This window comes from Homo sapiens, chromosome 12, assembly GCF_000001405.40.
Source record: "Homo sapiens chromosome 12, GRCh38.p14 Primary Assembly".
NCBI classification, from domain to species: Eukaryota; Metazoa; Chordata; class Mammalia; order Primates; family Hominidae; genus Homo; species Homo sapiens.
In genome coordinates, this window is record NC_000012.12 from 42516321 (window position 1) to 42536071 (window position 19751).

General features: G+C 40.5%; 1 protein-coding gene across 5 annotated transcripts in view; it reads right to left on the bottom strand.

The window, feature by feature from the left end:
* The window catches only part of PRICKLE1 (prickle planar cell polarity protein 1), a 132990-nt gene that overhangs the window by 59564 nt on the left and 53675 nt on the right, over window positions 1–19751 (bottom strand). The window contains exons 1-2 of one of the 5 annotated variants that reach the window (XM_047428327.1): window positions 8833–11563; window positions 8545–8726 (exon numbers count right to left, since the gene is read on the bottom strand). The exons of 3 other annotated variants lie outside the window; for them this stretch is intronic. The gene's annotated coding sequence lies outside the window, so the exon portion shown is untranslated. Of the gene's footprint in view, window positions 1–8544; window positions 8727–8828; window positions 11564–19751 lie in introns of those variants that run through there. One more of the 5 variants, XM_047428335.1, reaches the window with a different exon arrangement.

Here is a 19751-nt window from a genome sequence, read left to right on the forward strand (position 1 = left end):
ACGGGGTTCAATCATGTTAGCCAGGATGGTCTCGATCTCCTGACCTCGTGATCCGCCTGCCTCGGCCTCCCAAAGTGCTGGTATTACAGGCGTGAGCCACCGTGCCTGGCTTCTTCTTTCATATTTTTAATATCCAAGAGTTCCTGTGTCCATGAAGGTTCCTTTTTTGTAGCATCCTGTTCTTGTTTACAGGGTATCTCTTCTTTCTCAGACAATATCAATGATATGTATATTTTAAGTGTTCTCCTTTGTATCTGTTTTAACTGTTATTATCTTTGTTTCTCTCTCTCTGTTCATCCTCATCTACCTGTTCATATTTAATAGTGAGATACTAAAAAGCTACTGGAAGCCATCTGTCTGTGTTTGGGAGGATGAGGACAGGGAAAGGGAGGTTTTTGACTCTGTCATCTAGACTAAGATGATCTAGGTTGGGCCGTTTCCTTGGGAAACCCCCAAAGTCAGAATTCTTAGCTTTGTTCTCACCGCATGCACCCACACCCCCTCTCCCCACCCCTTGCCTTTGGCTAACCAGATTCTTCAGATAATACTTTTCCCATCTCCTGCCTATGGGGTGGGTGATACCTGGCTGAATGATGTGGCAGCCAAGTTGAGGTCTGTTACCTGATTCTTTTGGTTTTGTTTAGGTACCCTCTCCCTCAACTGTGCCTGTGTTTCATAGTGTAGAGAACCTCTGTTCCACCCTTGACAAAGGATAAACCTTCTTGAGCCTTTTGGAAGTTCTAGGGAATAACTCAGATTGCTTCTCAACTTGCTTCTCAATCTGTACTTCCAGATTAGGATCTGCCTCTTTGAGTCTCCTAAATTAGCTGCTAATTATCCTGTTTTCAGATTCCAAAGTTTTGTTATTTTCTTCTTTCCCATTTTATTCATCTTTGTGGGTTACTTCTTTTTTAAAAATACTTTTACTGTCACTTTAATGAAATTTTGCAAGGGGACAGAACTAAATGTGTGTACTCAGTCTGCCATTTTTTTTTTTTTTTTTTTTTTTTGAGACAGAGTCTTGCTCTGTAGCCCAGGTTGGAGTGCAGTGGCATGATCTCAGCTCACTGCAACCTCTGCCTCCCAGGTTCATGCCATTCTCCTGCCTCAGCCTCCTGAGTAGCTGGGACTACAGGCGCCCGCCACCACGCCCAGCTAGTTTTTTGTATTTTTAGTAGAGATGGGGTTTCACCGTGTTAGCCAGGATGGTCTTGATCTCCTGACCTCGTGATCCGCCCATCTTGGCTTCCCAAAGTGCTGGTATTACAGGCTTGAGCCACCGCACCTGGCCCAGTCTGCCATCTTTAACCAGGGGTTCCTAGATCAGTTTTTCCACAGGCTGGTCTTTAAGGCCATCCTCAAATACTGTACCAGCCTTATTGCCTCCTCCTGGCTTTAAGGACACCCTACAACCCTTGAGGTCCCTAGTCTAAAGGGAGAGGAGAGGAATTTCAGTTGATAAAAAGCAAATGTGTCTTTAAATAATTAACTGGGTACTTAACAAGAAAAGTGGGGGTATTTCCTTTGGTAGTCTGAAAGATTTTTTTTTCTGTATAATAGATGGGTTTCTTTCTCCACACTAGATAGGCATGCATTTATCGAGTTTGAAGGGGGAATTAAAAGGTCTCAGAATGTCTCTCCCAGGCCTGGGTTTATAATTCCAAAGATAACATAATTTAAGAATTTAAGACCCAGTCTAATGCAATTCCTTCATTTCATTAGCAAGAAGACTGGTTTTACTGTAAAAGTTGGTTAAATTAAGAAGATCAGAAGTTTCTGAGGATTTTTTTTTTTTTTGAAACAGGTCTTACTCTGTCACCCAGGGTGATCCTACTGCCTCAGCCTCCTGCGTAGCTGGAAACACAGGCATGCACCACCATCCCCAGCTGATTTTTAAAATTTTTGTAGAGATGGGGTTTCAACATGTTGCCCAGGCTGGTCTTGAACTCCTGGACTCAAGCAATCCTTCTGCCTCAGCCTTCCAAAGTGCTGGGGTTACAGGCATAAGCCACAACAACCGGCTGAGGATGGATGTCTTGATAAGACTATGATCACTTGTCTACTAACAAGGATGGTTTTTTTATACCCTGGAGAATTTCTTATTTTTTCAACTGAAGTATCTTTCCCTAATAAGCACAAACAATAAATTCACAACATGCTGAAATTCATATGTTGTGAATTTATTTTTTAACAAAGCAAAGTTATTTAAGTCCTGACACTAACAACAGCTGCCAACCTAAATTTGAAAGTGTTAAAAATAGCTCAATGATCCTTAATTTTCCTATGTTTGTCCCCCTTGCATCTGTCTTCCAACCTTAAAACTAAAACATTATTGAATTTATCTACATAGAAGTTGTAAGATGAAATTTAATCCCATTGTAATTTAAAACTAAACTGTGTTCAATATTAATGTTCAGTTACATGACCTTGAAATTTATTTGGCAATACCTACTGATTGGTGCAGGAGTAATACAGCTTATATTTCTCAAAACACTAGCAATAATATCCCTATAGCCTTCTGATAAACTGCAAATTACACTTATTAATTAGATTTAAGAAGTGTAAATGTTATAACATGGTTATAATGCCACTATCAGGTACACTTTCCAGTTTATTGGAGGAAGTAAAAATGAAATGCACCATGGCTTGAGAATTGATTAATTCTCAGTTTTATTTAGGAGAGTCAGACCTGAAATGTTGCAAAGAAGGGTTACATTACTTCTCTCTTGGCACATGACCCTCAAGTAGTAATCGTTACCATCTGTAATGCTGAAAAATGTGTTCAACATGAAGAATTCTTAGGTGGCATTATTTAGGGAACTACCTGTTCCCTCCACAGTGTTGCTTTACTGAATTTCCTTTCCTTTTTTTCCTTTTTTTTTTTTTTTTTTTTGAGATGGTGTGTTGCTCTTGTCACCCAGTCTGGAGTGCAATGGCGCAATCTCTGCTCACTGCAACCTCTACCTCCTGGGTTCAAGTGATTCTCCTGCCTCGGCCTCCCGAGTAGCTGGGATAATAGATGTGTGCCACCATGCCCGGCTAATTTTGTGTTTTTAGTAGAGATGGGGTTTCACCATGTTGGCCAGGCTGGTCTCAAACTCCTAACCTCAGGGGATCCATGCGCCTCGGCCTCCCAAAGTGCCGGGATTATAGGCATGAGCCACCGTACCTGGCTTTACTGAATTTTCAGCACCAGCTTTAGACTTTACCAGATGCAGGAGATAATCCAGACTTTTGTGCCTCAACATATTTGATCAACTCCGACCCCTTCTCTGATCTTGGAGACTGAATATTAATAAATGGTTAGTAAAATGGCCTATTCTTTTGGTTAATTCACAGGTGGATGAATGCTTACACAAATGCTCTTCATAATTCTAGACCAGTGATGGGGTAGGTGAGGAAACACTTCTAGAAGGAGTGGCTAAAAGGGGTGGGCTGAGGCTGGGTAGCTTGAAAGCAAAGCAGAAATCTGACCTGTGACTTTGAGTATTTGTTGTTGTTGTTAGAGATGGGGTCTCATTCTGTAGCCCAGGCTGGAGTATAGTGGTAAGATCATGGCTCAGCACAGCCCTGAACTCCTAGCCTCAAGCCATCCTCCCACCTCAGCCTCCAGAGTAGTTTGGCCTACAGATGCGAGCCATTGCACTTGATGGCTTTGAGTGTTTTAACGGTAGCCCAGGATGGGGTATTTCAACCCCCTCCATACAAGTTCTGATAAGGCATGCCTTCCCTGAGACCACTGCTTTATATGGGGTAATCTTATATGTTCCATTCTGCTCTGGAAAATCCTAGTTTGTGCCTCTTTTTCTGGTAAAAAGCACCCTCTCAAGTGTCCAGGTTTGGATGATAAATTATCCAGGCCACCAGATCTGTGGTGGATGTGGGATAGTTATATGTAATCTCCACTGGAGAACAGGTGAGTCCCTAATACACACTGCGACTAAATTTCTCTGTGCTTTTCCAGCATAACCTAAAATGTGGAAAAGAAAGATGTAAGACCGTGGTGGTCAATGCAAATGAGAATAATATTAACAGGTAGTGGACTTTGGAGGTAGACAGCCCTGAGACAGAATATGACTCTCCCATTTACTAACTTTGTGATTTGGGGCAAGACATTTCATTCTCCCTTAATCTCATTTTCCTCAACTATGCAATGGAAATGCAAAATTTACTGCACTGAGTTGCGATGGGGATTAAATGAGATGCTGCATAGACAGAGCTTTGCACAGTGGGGAGTTACTGTGAACAAGCTCATTGCCAAACAGTCTATTATATTGTTTTAATTTGATTGAGGCTTCACTTTATGTGTTATCTACATTAACCCCCAAATACACTTACACTTCAAACAAATTTTTAACTTTTAAAATGTTCTTTAATTTAGGCAGGGCGTCAAACTGTTGATTAGATTTGGTTGGCTAGCAATACAGTGAGGTGTTGCAAATGTTACAGTCTGAATGCAAGCTTTAAAGAAATGTCAAAATGTGTCCATTTTAATCAGATATGTCATGATGTGAGAGTCTGTGCTCACATCTATTGACAGAGGGATAAATATGTTAAAGACATACCTTAGCCAGGCGTGGTGGCTCACGCCTATAATCCCAGTATTTTGGGAGGCTGAGGCGGGCAGATCACTTGAGGTCAGGAGTACGAGATCAGCCTGGCCAACATGGTGAAACCCCATCTCTACCAAAAATACAAAAATTAGTTGGGCATGCTGGTGCACGCCTGTAATCCCAACTACTCAGGAGGTTGAGGCAGGAGAATGGCTTGAACCTGGGAGGCGGAGGTTGCAGTGAGCCAAGATTGCGCCACTGCACTGCACTCCAGCCTGGGTGATAGCACAAGACCCCGTCTTAAAAAAAATAAAATAAAATAAAAGAAGACATACCTTAGAGTCTCTGTAGGCAATTTATATTTTATTAATGTAAATATTGATTATATAATTGAAAGTCCAAAGAATAGTGGCAAAAACTTTAAGACATTATTTTGAGAAACATTGTATTTCTTTACTAATTATATATTTAGTAGATAAAGGAAAATACCTTTAACTGTGTTTGAAAATGGTTACGAATACAATACAGTTAAAAGCAGTTAATAGACCTACTGCAGTGGCTCATACCTGTAATCCCAGCACTTTGGGAGGCCGAGGTGGGAGGATCACTTGAGCCTAGGAGTTTCAGACCAGCCTGGGCAACCTGGTGAAACCCTGTCTCTACAAAAATTACAAAAATTAGCCTGGCATGGTGGCATGTGCCTATAGTCCCAGCTACTCTGGAGGCTGAGGTCGGGGGGATCGCTTAAGCCTGCTAGGTGGAGGTGGCAGTGAGCTGAGATTGCACCACTGCACTCCAGCTTGGGTGACAGAGTGAGACCTTGTCTCAAAAAAAAAAAGCCATTAACAGTAGAAATTAACTAACCAGTTAAAACCGAGAACAAGCCACCTTCTTCTAATCTGTCCCAGTTCTCCCAGCATTAAGAATGTCTCATGTGAAGAACATGTCTACATAAAGCAATAGTGAAGAGTGAAACCACTCCTCTTAGAACGACTTAATTTGCTTTTGGTTTTAGTTATCTAAATATTTCAAGTGAAATCAGTTTGTTTGTTTTTGGTGTGTGTGTGTGTGTGTGTGTGTGTGTGTGTGTGTGTGTGTTTAACTTCTTTTTTTTTTTTTTTGACAGAGTTTCGCTCTTGTTGCCCAGGCTAGAGTGCAGTGGCACGATCTCGGCTCACTGCAAGCTCCACCTCGCGGGTTCAAGTGATTCTCCTGTCTCAACCTCCCGAGTAGCTGGGATTATAGGCACATGCCACCATGCCCAACTAATTTTTGTATTTTTAGTAGAGGCGGGGTTTCACCATGTTGGCCAGGCTGGTCTCGAACACCAGACCTCAGGTGATCCACCCGCCTCAGCCTCCCAAAGTGCTGGTATTACAGGTGTGAGCTACCATACCTGGCCTTAACTTTTTTGTAAGAGACAGCATCTACGTTACCCACACTCGTCTCAAACTCCTGGGCTCAAGCAATCCTCCCACTCAGTCTACTCAGTAGCTGGGACTATAGGCACACATCATGCTTGTCTGAAATCAGGGGTTTTAGGGCTATTTTCTACCATGCTTATACAACTAGAATGATGCAGAAGTGAATGACTATTGTCCATTTGCAAGAGAACCAGATCAAATCTGGTTTCTAAATTATATAAAAATATATTTATATGAAAATGTATCTTGCTTAAATAAGTTTAACACAGAGTTTTAAAATACTCTAAAAATTGGAAAATGAGATCTGTGTACATTGGCTGTGTGTGGGCCTTGGTCACATTAACGTACTTTTCCTTAGTATCCTATGTGGCACTTTGCTATGAGAAATGCACCATTGCATCAAATAAGTTTTATTACTTTGGTGGCTAGACAAAGTTTTGTTTTTTCCATTAGCAAATAGAATCTTTTTTAAAGCGGAAAATTGGCAGTTATTTTTAAAGTGGATATATTACATAAATTTGATCTTTAGGGATCTAGGAATTTTTAGTGGACTCTCATGAAGAAAGCAAGTTTTGTGCCATGCATTTTATCCTTAGTCACTTTAATTATAAAGACTACCCATGTCCCAAAGCAGTTCATGTTAGTTGAAAGGTGATTCTAACATATTTTTTTTTTTTTTTTTGAGATGGAGTCCCGCTCTGTCGCCCAGGCTGGAGTGCAGTGGCACGATCTCGGCTCACTGCAACCACCGCCTCCTGGGTTCACACCATTCTCCTGCCTCAAACTCCCAAGTAGCTGGGATTACAGGCACCTGCCACCATGCCAGGCTAATTTTTTTGTATTTTATTTTTAGTAGAGACGGGGTTTCACTGTGTTAGCCAGGATGGTCTCGAACTCCTGACCTCATGATCCGCCCGCCTTGGCCTCCCAAAGTGCTGGGATTACAGGCGTAAGCCACCGCGTCCAGCCAATTTTTTGTTTCTTAATCTCCTTTAAACTTGGAATAAGCATTAAAAGGTTAACCAAGATGCTCATTTTCTGAATTTTTCTGCAGCCAAGTTTACATAGGGGCAACTCTTGAATTCTGAACAAGACATAGGGAACTGGTCTTTTCACAAAGAGGCCATCTTGCAGTTATGTCAACAAACTTTTTCACACTAGTGCATCTGTTTCCAAAGTTTGTGGTTTGAAAGAATAGACTGATATTAACTACTTCTCTTGAGTCTTCAAACGACCAAGAAAGGAAAGAAGGAAGACTGGTAGCAGCAATGAATTTTCACAGACATGCAAACTCAGTATTTCAGATGGCTTAACAGATGCACAGTTACAAATAAGAGCCATATGGGTGCATTAAAGGGTAAAAAATCTGGGTCACATTATACAGTACAGGTGGAAATGCAGCTATAAACACAGTCAGAACAGGTGATTTGGATACCTGTCACTTATATCTATATACAGACTTATCCAGTAAGACTCTCCTATCCCATACTTAAATGAAATTAAACCTTGTCAACCATAAAGTTCAGTATAAAGATCTTTGATGTCAAACACAGCATTCTGAAGCAAGGTTTTATTAGCTAGGTGTTTTGTAAATAACATTTATCTTCAAAGCACCAAACACAGTACACATTCCCAGGTAAATAGTAAGTGCTTAGGAACAACTGTGTTGAATTCATTTATGACCCTAAACATTCTTTCCTCTGAAATATTTGTTAACACTTTAATTGAACAGACCATGGCTTTACTGAGCTAATAAGGCACTTCCTATCTTTAAGCTAATTTTCTTTCCATTAAAATGGCCTGTGCAATACAGGTAATTTGAAACAGCAAGCACATGTACAAGCCAGCAGCTCTACAAAGTGTTGTTTTGTATACAATATTTGATTATAACAATCAAGGCTGTCTTGAAGCACTGCATATTATAGAAAAATAAAAGGACAGTAAGTCCAAGCATCTACATTTTAGCTATGTAATCTTGATTGTTTTTTCAGAATATTTTTCCTACTAATCCAATGGTAGATTTAAAGTTTTCCTGAAATAATCAAAGGACCTGAAATAATCAAAGGACCAAAATTAAACCACAGGGTAAAAATTGTTGGTAATAATCACTGTATTTTTATTTTATTTTATTTTTGAGATGAAGTCTCACTCTGTCACCCAGGCTGGAGTGCAGTGGCGCGATCTTGGCTCACTGCAACCACCACCCCCTGGGTTCAAGCGATTCTCCTGCCAGCCTCCTGAGTAGCTGGGATTACAGGTGCCTGCCACCGCACCCGGCTAATTTTTGTATTTTTAGTAGAGATGGGGGTTCACCATCTTGGCCAGGTTGGTCTTGAACTCCTGACCTCATGAACCACCAGCCTCGGCCTCCCAAAGTGCTGGGATTACAGGTGTAAGCCACCACACCCGGCAAATCACTGTTTAAATATTTACATTTATTTAAAAATCCCTGTATATCAGTTATGATTGTCTTTAGAATATTTGTTTTTTTGGAAGATAGTGAGGCATAGTGGTTAAGGACACGAATTCTGGAGTCATCCAGCCTTGGTGCCAGCTTTGCCACTTACTCGTTCTGACATCGTGAAATGTATAGTTGGTCTTTGTCCAGGTTTCCTGGCACACAACTCCTAAAATCCTTGGAATGTCCAACGTGATTTCACATGATTCCAACATGATAGTCTTTTTTGTATGCTAATGAGATGACTGCTAGCTGGCAGCCGCTGGGTAGCTTCAGCTTCTAGGCTGGTCACTGGAAAGACCAAGGCAGGATCAGAGAGTTAGAACTTTGAGCCACACTCCCCAGCCACTGGGGAAGGGGTTTCACCAACTTAGTAAATTTAATCAATCATACCTACATAATGATAAAAGCTCAAAAGGACTGGGTTCAGAGAGTTTCCCGATAGCTGAACACATGGAGGTTCCTGAAGGGCAGTAGAGCATCGAAGCTCCATTCTCCTTTGCAGGTGCCTTGCCCTGTGCATCTCTTCATCTTGATCCTTTGTGATATCCTTTATACAAATGTACTGATAAAAGTAAGTCAGTCTTTTCCTGAGTTCTGCGAGCCAGTACTAACAAATTAGTCAAACCCAAGGAGAGGGTCGAGGGAACCCCAATATAGAGCTGGTCAGTCAGAAGCACAGGTAAAACAACTTGGGGCTTGCTACTGGCCTTGAAAGTGGGGAAAGAAGTCCTGTGGGCCTGAGCCCTTAACCTATGGGATCTGCTGTTCTCTCCAGGTAGCAGGAGTGTCAGAATTGAATTGAATTCGAGGACAATTCTGCAGCTGGTGGCCACTGCAGAACTGATTGACTGGTTGTTGGCAGGGAGAAATTTCCACACACTTCCTGGTGACCAGAGGTCCCAGAAGTCTTCTGTATTGATTGTTGTGAGTGAGAGAATAGCAAAAGCAGCTTTGTTTGCTTTTTTTTTTTTTTCCCTACATCCTCAGACTAGTTATGTCATCTTTCTGTGCCTCCATTTCCTGTTCTCCAAAACTGAGGGAACAGAACCACCTACATCATAATGTTGTTGATGTAGGCAGTAAAAGTGATAATACATACAAAGCACCATGTTTGCCACATACTAAGTGTTGAAATAGATGTCATATGTCATTATGATCAATGGACCAAAATCCATTGCAAAAGACAAAGAGGAGATGAATGCCTCTTTCCAAGAAGGTAATATAGGGCATTTGAGCTGTCTTCTGTTGAAAACAGAATTAAGGGATCTTACGTGTTTGGAAACATGGAGCAGAGTGCTCTAGGATTACAAAATGCTAATGTATTCATTGTGAAGCTAAAGTGGCTGTATCTTAATGAAACCTCTGAAGTGGATTAAGCTCAGCCGGTAGAATGTGTAGGCAAAAACTCAGGCCAGAGGTGCATTCACGATTCATGGGTATTTCTTGGCACTTTTCTAGACCTTAGAGTAACAAAAATCTTTTTTCTTTTTTTTTTAAATGCTGTATTTGAAAAGCTTTACAACCTGGTAGGGGAGAGGGACAACTGTATGCTTGTATGCTGATGCAATAAGTTACAGAATGGAGGTATGAATGAGGTTTGAAGAAAATGCTGAGGAGTTGGCGGGGGCAGAGGTTGAGGTTTGTTTGGGGGAATTAAGAGAAACTTCACAGAGGACATCTGATCTGGAGCTGGAAAGTGAATAGTAATACACAGTGCAAAAAAGTGATGGAAGTGTCACTTAGGAGTGGGGAAGATGTACCCAGCAGCTTTTCTGCCTTGAGAGTGGTGAGAGGTTCTGTGTGGCTGAGAGTGCACATGGGGAAATTGGATAGAGAGTCCTGGAGGAGCCGACTGGGACCAGTTTGCAGAGGGCCTTGCATGTGAACACTGATGAGAAGTGGTACACATTTTAGCACAGTCAGGTCATGAGCAGAATTGCCTTTTGGAACAGTGACCATGGCCACTGTTCCCCCTTAAAAACACTCCTCTAAGCCAAAAAAAAAAAAAAAATGCTTAGAGGAGTGCTGAAAGAGGCTGAGGCAGAAAGATCAGTTAGAAAAATGTAAAATAATGATGACGACGATGATGATGATGATGTCTCTAGCATGGCAATAGGATGAAACAAGGGCTTAGATTCAAGGGAGAATTACCAGATGGAATCAAGAGACTATGTATGCTGCTTGAATGATATAGGGGTGACGGTGAGTGGGGCTTGTCCAAGGTGATGTGCCCAATGTCACACTGTGGACCAGCACTATCGCCACACATTCATATGACTAGAGCAGTTGATAAAGGAGAAGTGAAGAAGTCAGATGGTGTCAGTGGAAAAGGGTACAATTTAAGAGTGTGCTTTCTTTTTTTTTTTCCTCTTTTTTTTTTTTTTTTTTTTTTGGGACGGAGTCTCACTCTGTAGCCCCGGATGGAGTGCAGTGGCACAATCTCGGCTCACTGCAATCTCTGCCTCCCAGGTTCAAGTGATTCTCCTGTCTCAGCCTCCTGAGTAGCTGGGACTACAGGTGCGCTCCACCATACCTGGCTAATTTTTGTATTTTTAGTAGAGAAGGGGTTTTGCCATGTTGGCCAGGCTGGCCTTGAACTCCTAACCTCAAGTGATGTGCCTGCCTTGGCCTCTCAAAGTGCTGGGATTACAGGCATGAGCTACCATCCCCGCCCAGCCTAAAGGTGTGTATTCTATAGGAAAACTGCTTCCTTTTCTCCTTCCAGCATGGAAGTCAAGATGCAACTCAAAAATCCACTTAGCAGGCAATGAGATGAAGCACTGCTAGAAGTCCCATTTCATGACAAGGCCAATTACTCAGACTTTACTGGGAGCCCATCAAGACATGGCATATGCCTGGCACAGAGAGGGTACTTAACAAATGCTTGTCCATTCAATTTGTTAAGCAGGAAGTGAACAAAGTGGTGGGCTGGGTCTCAGAATTACATGCATCTTCTAAATCCCTCTGTGCCCTGATTTCTTCATTTATAAAATGGAGAGTAAAATGTTAGGAATTAAAAGAAAAAAAATTCTTTAAATAAGACATGATCAAGAAGCACTGATATTGGGAAGAATGGGCAGCTATCTGAGATCCGTATGTAATGATAAGTAATCTATTAAATAGGGGCTACCAACTGGAGTTTATATATACTCTTTATAATATATATATATATATATATATATATATATATATATATATATATATATATATATATCTCCAAAGTTTTATATACTATCTTTTAGCCATAAGGCAAATAAATAAAATAAAATGCAAACATCATAAAATTTACATGGTAAAGCTAACCTTCTTTATCTTCTTTATGTATTTAACTTACTTATTTGAGACAGAGTATTGCTCTGTCAGCAAGGTTGGAGGGCAGTGGCAAGATCACAGTTCACTGCAACCTCTGCCTCCCGGGCTCAACTGGCCCTCCCACCTCAGCCTCCAAAGTAACTGAGACTACAGTTGTGCACCACCATACCTGGCTAACTGTTTTGTAGACATGAGGTTTCATCATGTTGCCCAGACTGCTCTCGAACTCCTGGGCTCAAGTGATCCTCCCACCTCGGCCTTGCAAAGTGCTGGGATAATAGGCTTGAGCCACTGAGCCCAGCCCGAAAAACTAACTTTTTATGGAAGTCTTACTGAAGCAAAAATAAATATATAAATAAAATCGTGTTTAAGGAGAGCTCTTAATTTTGAGAAAAACAACATTTGCAAGAAGTCTTCATTTTAATAAAAACAACCTAAAAATTACAGCATAGGTTTACATCTGCCTTTAAATGTCATTTCATAATAAAACATTATTGCTTTAAAAATATTAGCTTATTAAATAGGTAAGTTCAATAAGTTATAAAGGAGTTAAATGTTTGTATTAAACATGTGAACCATCAGAATTTTTCATATTCTGTCAATCAGGCAGAAGTTGATGTAATTAGAAATGTTCAGAATATGCCAGTTTGTGAGACTCCACTGGATATCCTCACAGTCAATGCTCAAAAAATATCCACTGACTGAATGAAATAAAGAAAAATAATCACATATATAACATGTATGTGTAAGCTAGACAACAAACATGTAAATGAACTGTACCATTTAATTTTTAAAACAGACTACACAGCTTCTCTATCATACTAGTTAGAAAATAATCCTTGTAGCACCTCAAATAATTCTTCATATGGAAACCAAAAGATGACTCTTTGCCTCTAAGCCACCACCGGCTAAGGGAAGGCTCCCTTGAAAATGGCCCCTGTCCCTCTACTGTTTTTATTTTTTATTTTTTTATGAATGGATGTATCAGACTTAGACTTTTAGCTCTGTGGCATTACACATGGAAACACTTACAAAATTATACTAAGTAAATGACAGGCTTTCAGTTGTTTTTTAATTAGGAAAAATACCTAGTCCTTCAAAACTAGATATTTTATTTTGAATTTTATTTGTAATCAAAATGTTGTTCTGGAAGCCTTTTCTGTAGTCTTAATTACTCAAACATGTTCCTATGGGACTTGATGTCACCACTGTATAGCAATCCTGCAGATGGCAAAAGTTTAAAATAGAATTAAACTAAGCTATTAATTATGTAGACAGGGTAAAAGAAATATAAATGAATAGCCTTTAAAATAAATTTTAGTACTTCTAACTGCCAGAATGGCAGCTGTTTGTCTACTTTCTTGGGAGACAGAAGAGTCAAGTTAGCTTATGCTTTGCTATTGTTTATACAAAATAAAATATTAGTTCTCTTGTTTAAAATGCCAAAGGATAGAAATGTGATTCTTACAGACAATCCTGCTTACAGTTTTGCTTAGTGAGGGCAGGGTTGATTTTTCAAATTCTTTAGATCAAAAGTTAAGAAGGCCGGTGCAGTGGCTCATGCCTGTAATCCCAGCACTTTGGGAGGCCAAGGCAGGCAGATCACTTGAGACCAGGAGTTTGAGACCAGCCTGGCCAACGTGGTAAAACGCCATCTCTACTAAAAATACAAAAAATTAGCCAGGTATGGTTGCGCATGCCTATAATCCCAGCTATTCAGGAGGCTGAGGCACGAGAATTGCTTGAACCCAAGAAGCAATGAGCCAAGATTGCTCCACTCACTATATTCCAGCCTGGACAACAGAGTGAGACCTTATCAAAAAAAAAGGAAAAAGGAAGAATTTTCTTTTCTCTTTTCCTTCCTTCCTTTCTTCCTTCCTTCCTTTTTTTTTTTTTGGTGGCGTCTCACTCTGTCATCCAGGCTGGAGTGCAGTGGCACTATCTTGGCCACTGCAACCTCCACCCCAGGTTCAAGCAATTCTCCCACCTCAGCCTCCCGAGTAGCTGGGATTACAGGCACATGCCACCATTCCTGGCTAATTTTTGTATTTTTAGTACAGACGGGGTTTCACCATGTTGGCCAGGTTGGTCTTGAACTCCTGACCTCAAGTGATCCGCCTGCCTCGGCCTCTCAAGGTGCTGGGATTACAGGCATAAGCCACTGCGCCCGGCCTATAAGGAAGAATTTTCAAGTTGGATTAAATTATAGATTTTTATTTCTTCTTCTTCCACTGGCAGACAATGTAATTTTTTATTTCATATGAAACACTAATGGTGAACTGGAAACTCTTCATTTTATACTCTAGAAATGCCATAAAACATTCCCCCTAAATTATATTCAAGTCACTGTTCAGTCCACTAAATCCTCAATAACACTATATTGCCTCATCAAACGTAAGCTCGATTTCTTGAATCAGCATTTTCTTTAATACTACTCAGGGGATATGAGAGTTCAGCAACTCCTAAAGGTTCCCAACATTTTTTCTATGAATCCCAAAGACATTAGAGAAAAGTACAAAATGCAAAAATTCTAAGAAAGACACAAAGGAAGGTTTTACAGAGGCTCTCTTGGCCATTTTAGGCAAAAAGTCAGTGTATTTTATCAAATAATTTTTTTTTTTTTTTTTTTTTTTGAGCAGAGTCTCACTGTTGTCAGCCCAGGCTAGAGTGCAATGGCATGATCTCAGCTCACTGCAACCTCTGCCTCCCGGGTTCCAGCAATTCTCCTGCCTTAGCCTCCCAAGTAGCTGAGATTACAGGTGCCCGGCACCTGTAAAACATGGTGAAACCCTGTTTCACCATGTTGGCCAGGCTGGTCTCGAACTTCTGGCATCAGGTGACCTACCTGCTTCGGCCTCCCAAAATGCTGGGATTACAGGCATAAGCCACCGTGCCCAGCCATCAGATTAATTTTATAAGAAAAGTACAACCTTGTTCATGTGGTATTGCCCTATTGCTAAAGATGTTAAGGGCTTTTTTTTTTTTTTTTTTTTTTTGACGGAGTCTCGCTCTGTCTCCCAGGCTGGAGTACAGTGGCACGATCTCGGCTCACTGCAAGCTCCGCCTCCCAGGTTCACGCCATTCTCCTGCCTCAGCCTCCTGAGTAGCTGGGACTACAGGTGCCCGCCACCACGCCCAGCTAATTTTTTAGTATTTTAGTAGAGTCGGGGTTTCACCGTGTTAGCCAGGATGGTCTCGATCTCCTGACCTTGTGATCCACCCGCCTCGGCCTCCCAAAGTGCTGGGATTACAGGCGTGAGCCACCGCGCCTGGCCAAGGCTTTGTTTTTATTGTACAATAATAGTGTTAAAATGTTAGGTTATACATTCACACAGATAACAGATCAAATATTCTGGACCTCTGATAAATGATCTCTTAGGCTCACAACTCCTTTGCCTACACCTTTCCTCCATCGTAGTATTACAAAGATAATTCAGAAAGGCTTAAAAATATGCCTACTGTTAATCTTTTCCATTTCATAATTGTGTGCAATCAATAAACTAAAAGGTGTGTAGTTTAATTCAGGAGAAAGGATAACATTGAGCTCCAATCTTTAATACTTCGTAATTCACATAAAACAGGACAACTCAGAGTTGACTTTTCAAAAACAACTTAATGGTAGCTACCATTAATTAATTTGAATACAGCTGAAATGGTGCTTTTGATTCACTGTAAAATGAACAACTGCTAATGATCAGAATGATACTCTCTTTCTAGAGAAAGATAATTGAATAATGAAGAGAAAGAGCATTATTTTTTACTTTCTTCATTTATTTATAACATTATTTCTCATTTAAAAATTTTTGCCCAGGTATGGTAACTTATGCTTGTAATCTCAGTACTTTAGGAGGCCGAAGTGGGAAGATCGCTTGAACCCAGGAGTTCAAGAGCAGTCTGGGCAACATAGGGTGACTTCATCTCTACCAAAAAAATAAATAAATAAATTAGCCGGGCATGGTGGCATGTACCTGTAGTCCCAGCTACTTGAAAGGCTGAAGTGGAAACGATCGCTTGAGCCTGGGAGGTTGAGGCTGCAGTGAGCCATAACTGTGCCACTGCACTCCAGCCTGGCCCACACAGCAAGACTCTGCCTCAAAAAATAAATAAAGAAAGAAATAACAATTTTCATTTTCCTAGCAATTCTACTTCTAACAGTAAATCCTAAGGAAACAATCAGAGATATGTAAAAAACATCTCTATGTACAGGTGGTCAATGAGTAATTTTTAATACTAAAAAATAAGAAGTATCTTGAGGATTCAACAAGATGGTGGTTAAGAACCGGTCAAATAATTTTACTCACATAATAGAAAATTATGCAGCTATAAAACTATAGACCAGTGTTGTCTAACAGAAATAGAATATGACTGACATTTGTAACTTTAAATTTTCTAGTAAGCACATTAGAAAAAGTAAAAAGTAACGAGTGAAATTAATTTCGTTAATATATTTTATTTAGCTCAACTTATTTGAAATATTTCAACATGTAATCAATATAAAAATTAGTAATGAGATATTTTACTTTTTAAAAATGTGTTTCTTGTTCCGGCCGGGCGCGGTGGCTCACGCCTGTAATCCCAGCACTTTGGGAGGCTGAGGCGGGCGGATCACGAGGTCAGGAGATCGAGACCATCCTGGCTAACACGGTGAAACCCCGTCTCTACTAAAAATACAAAAAATTAGCCGCACGCTGTGGCGGGCGCCTGTAGTCCCAGCTACTCGGGAGGCTGAGGCAGGAGAATGGTGTGAACCCGGGAGGCGGAGCTTGCAGTGAGCCGAGATCGTGTCACTGCACTCCAGCCTGGGCGAGAGTGAGACTCCGTCTCAAAAAAAAAAAAAAAAATTGTGTTTGGAATCTGGTGTGTTTTTTGCACTTACAGCACATCTCAATTCAGACTAGCCACAATTCTAGTGCTCAACAGCCCATGTTGCTAGTGGTTACAGTATTAAATAGTGTAGCTATAGATAAGGCTTAGATCTAGAAAATCATTAATGAGATATTAAAATTTAAAAATAGATCATGACATAAGTACAGTATATTTCTAATTGTATGCTTTAAAAATCCATGAATAAGAGAAAAAAACCTAGAAGGGTATATACCAAAATGTTTACCATGTTATTCTGGGGATAGATTTTTTTTTCTTCTTTTTTTTTTTTCTGTATTTTTTACCCGTTTGACAATAAATCTATATTATTGTGAAGTTAATGAATCGTTATGTTATTTAATATTTTCCAATCAGCACTGATTAGATTTATGATGACTTAAACATTCAACTCCAAGAACCTTATCCCTGAAAAATTACTGTACTTGTCTTTGTTCTGCGTTTCATACCAGTGAGTACTAATTTCATTGTCCATAGAGAATAATTCACTGCTGTGAACAAGACTTACATTTTGAGCACAAGCCCTAACATTTGCTCCTTAAAAGTGGTGTGTGTAAATATAGTATAAGAACTGTGGGAAAATTATTTCATTGCCTGTTAAATAACCATTTGTTAAGTCTAGACAACAGTCATAAATGGTCATTATTTATAAAGTTGCCAAAGTGCTTGGGGGAATTGTATAATAAATAGGCAACGTGACCAACACCTCCTTGTACTGCCATACCCCACAAAAAATAAAGAGAGAGAGAGAGAAAATACATAAATTGGCAAAGATGCTAAATATAGACTAAATTTACTCTGAAAAGTAAAACAAAACAGAAAGGAATGTCACACGCATGGCACTCACTTCACACAGCAGAGGCCTTGTTCTTCTGACACTCTTCATCTTGTGCCCTCACAACTCCCCTCCCACACAAAAACGCCCCTAACGACAAAACTAGCCCAATTTCCTTTTCAACATTTTCTCTCAATATTCCCCCATCACTAGCTCTGCACTGTCTAGCTATTCTGACATTCCTCATTGTATCCTCAAAAAGGTTCCTATTACTGTCAAGTAGGCCCAGGAAATATTTGACCTAGATTTATTTTATTGAGAAATAATGATCAAAACTCCTACTTATTGTATAAAGTAGGGCTTACGGTCAGTAATAGAAGCACTCAAAAACATGTAGATAATTACAGATGGTGGTCAGGGCAATAAAGGAAAAGATGAAGAAAGAAAGAAAGAAAAGAGCAGATCCGGATGCAGAAGGGGTCAGGAAAGTCCTCTCCATTGACAATGGACAATCTCCACTGAAGATGAGCCCTTAGAGATGAGAGCCCGCCAGGAAGAATGGGAATAAGCATCTTCCTGCAGAGGTGCGGGTACTGGTCCAGGGTGGATGGGGACTCGGGTGAATTCCAAAAGGGCAGGCCAGTGTTGGCTGGACTATGATAAGGGAGTGGGAGGATGCCAGAGCTATTTCAGCCTTGGGCATCCAGCACAGGGGCCAGCAACAGTGTGTGAGCTGTGGCTATTATTATTATCATTAACAACAGAAGCAATAGGTAAAATGCATTAAGCACTTTTGATGAGCTAGACACATGCTAAGAACTTTACACATAAGAATGGGTTAATTCTCTACAGTAGCCCTTTGAGATAGATATTAAGCAAGAGGTTAATAATTTGTCTAAGGCAGCATGCCTTGAAAAGGGCAGAGCAGGGATCTGCTGACTCTGGAGTCAGGACTCTTCCTCTCTTTGGCAGAGTCTCTACTTCCAAGTGTTACACCCAGATGTTCATTACCCCCACAATGGTGGGAAAAGGAACAGTTTTTTGAAAGGGGATACTAAAAAAAACCCCAAAGAAACAGATTTATTTTCCTAGAAAGATAAACCTACCTATGAACAAAATACAAATCATTCTTGTCTAAAGCCATGGAGTAAGGACAAAGAAAATATGTATAGTGTGCTGCAGTAGATATGTATGGTTTTTGACTTCCTGACATTTATTTTCCTTTTCTCTAATAAAAATAATTTTTCTCTGGGACACCATCTCTCATCCACTCTCAGTTTGTGACAGTTTTGGTGGGGCAGAACCCACCCTCGGGTTTAGGGTGGGACACATGACCCTGTAAACCTAGCCAACTGGAACATTCCATACCCATGGCCAGTAACTGGTTCAGATATGGTATATGACTGATGGCACATCAGCTCAATTCTGGAACTTTCCTGAATTATTGAGGAAGATACAAACTTACAGCTGCTGGTGTGCACACCTGCTCCATCTTGGACAATATTGCCTGACAATGAAGCCAGCACAAGAGAAAGACATGCTGAAGAAGAAGAGATGACAGTCCTTAGGAATCACAAAACATATAGATTCCACCACGCTAGCACAAGATTTAGTCCTGGACTTTTCAACTGAATGAACCAACACATTTCCTTTTCTCAGAGAAGCTATTTTGAGTTGGATTTTTCAAACAGAACAGACCTGGTGTGGATCAGAGTCAGTATAGAGGAAACTGATATGAGGGTCAACAAAGGCCAGTGTTAGCCAAAATAGCAGAAAGGTGGTCAGAAAGATCCTAAATTTTATGACCATTGAGAAAATTGTTTGAGAATCCCAGTGGTTAGAATGAGTTTGCTCTTCCTTAGGGGCAGGCAGCCAACAGAGTAGGAAGCAGAACTCTGAAATGCAGGTGCAAGCTGGATATGGTTACACACCCTCTAGTCCCAGCTATTGGGGAGGTCGAGGCAGGAGGATTGCTTGAGCCCAATAGTTTGAGGCTGCAGTAAGCTATGATTGTGCCACTGCACTCCAGCCTGGGCAACAGAGTGAGAACCTGTCTATTTAACAAGAAAGAAAGAAAAGAAATAAAAGAAAATAAATATAGATATAAACAGCCAGGAGTCAATAAATAGTTATTGGTTGTTTAATGTATATGACGATCTGTGCTAGGTGTAGGAATATGATAATGAACAAGAGATAGTCCCTTTCCCCCTTGGAGTTCATCAGCTACTCTAGAGGGCAAAGGAAGGAAGCACAGGCTGGTACACTCACATCATAATTTACCCACAAACTAACACAGTACATTCAAAGCAACACCCGAGTAAAAGAAAAGTCTTGGTTCTCTGGTC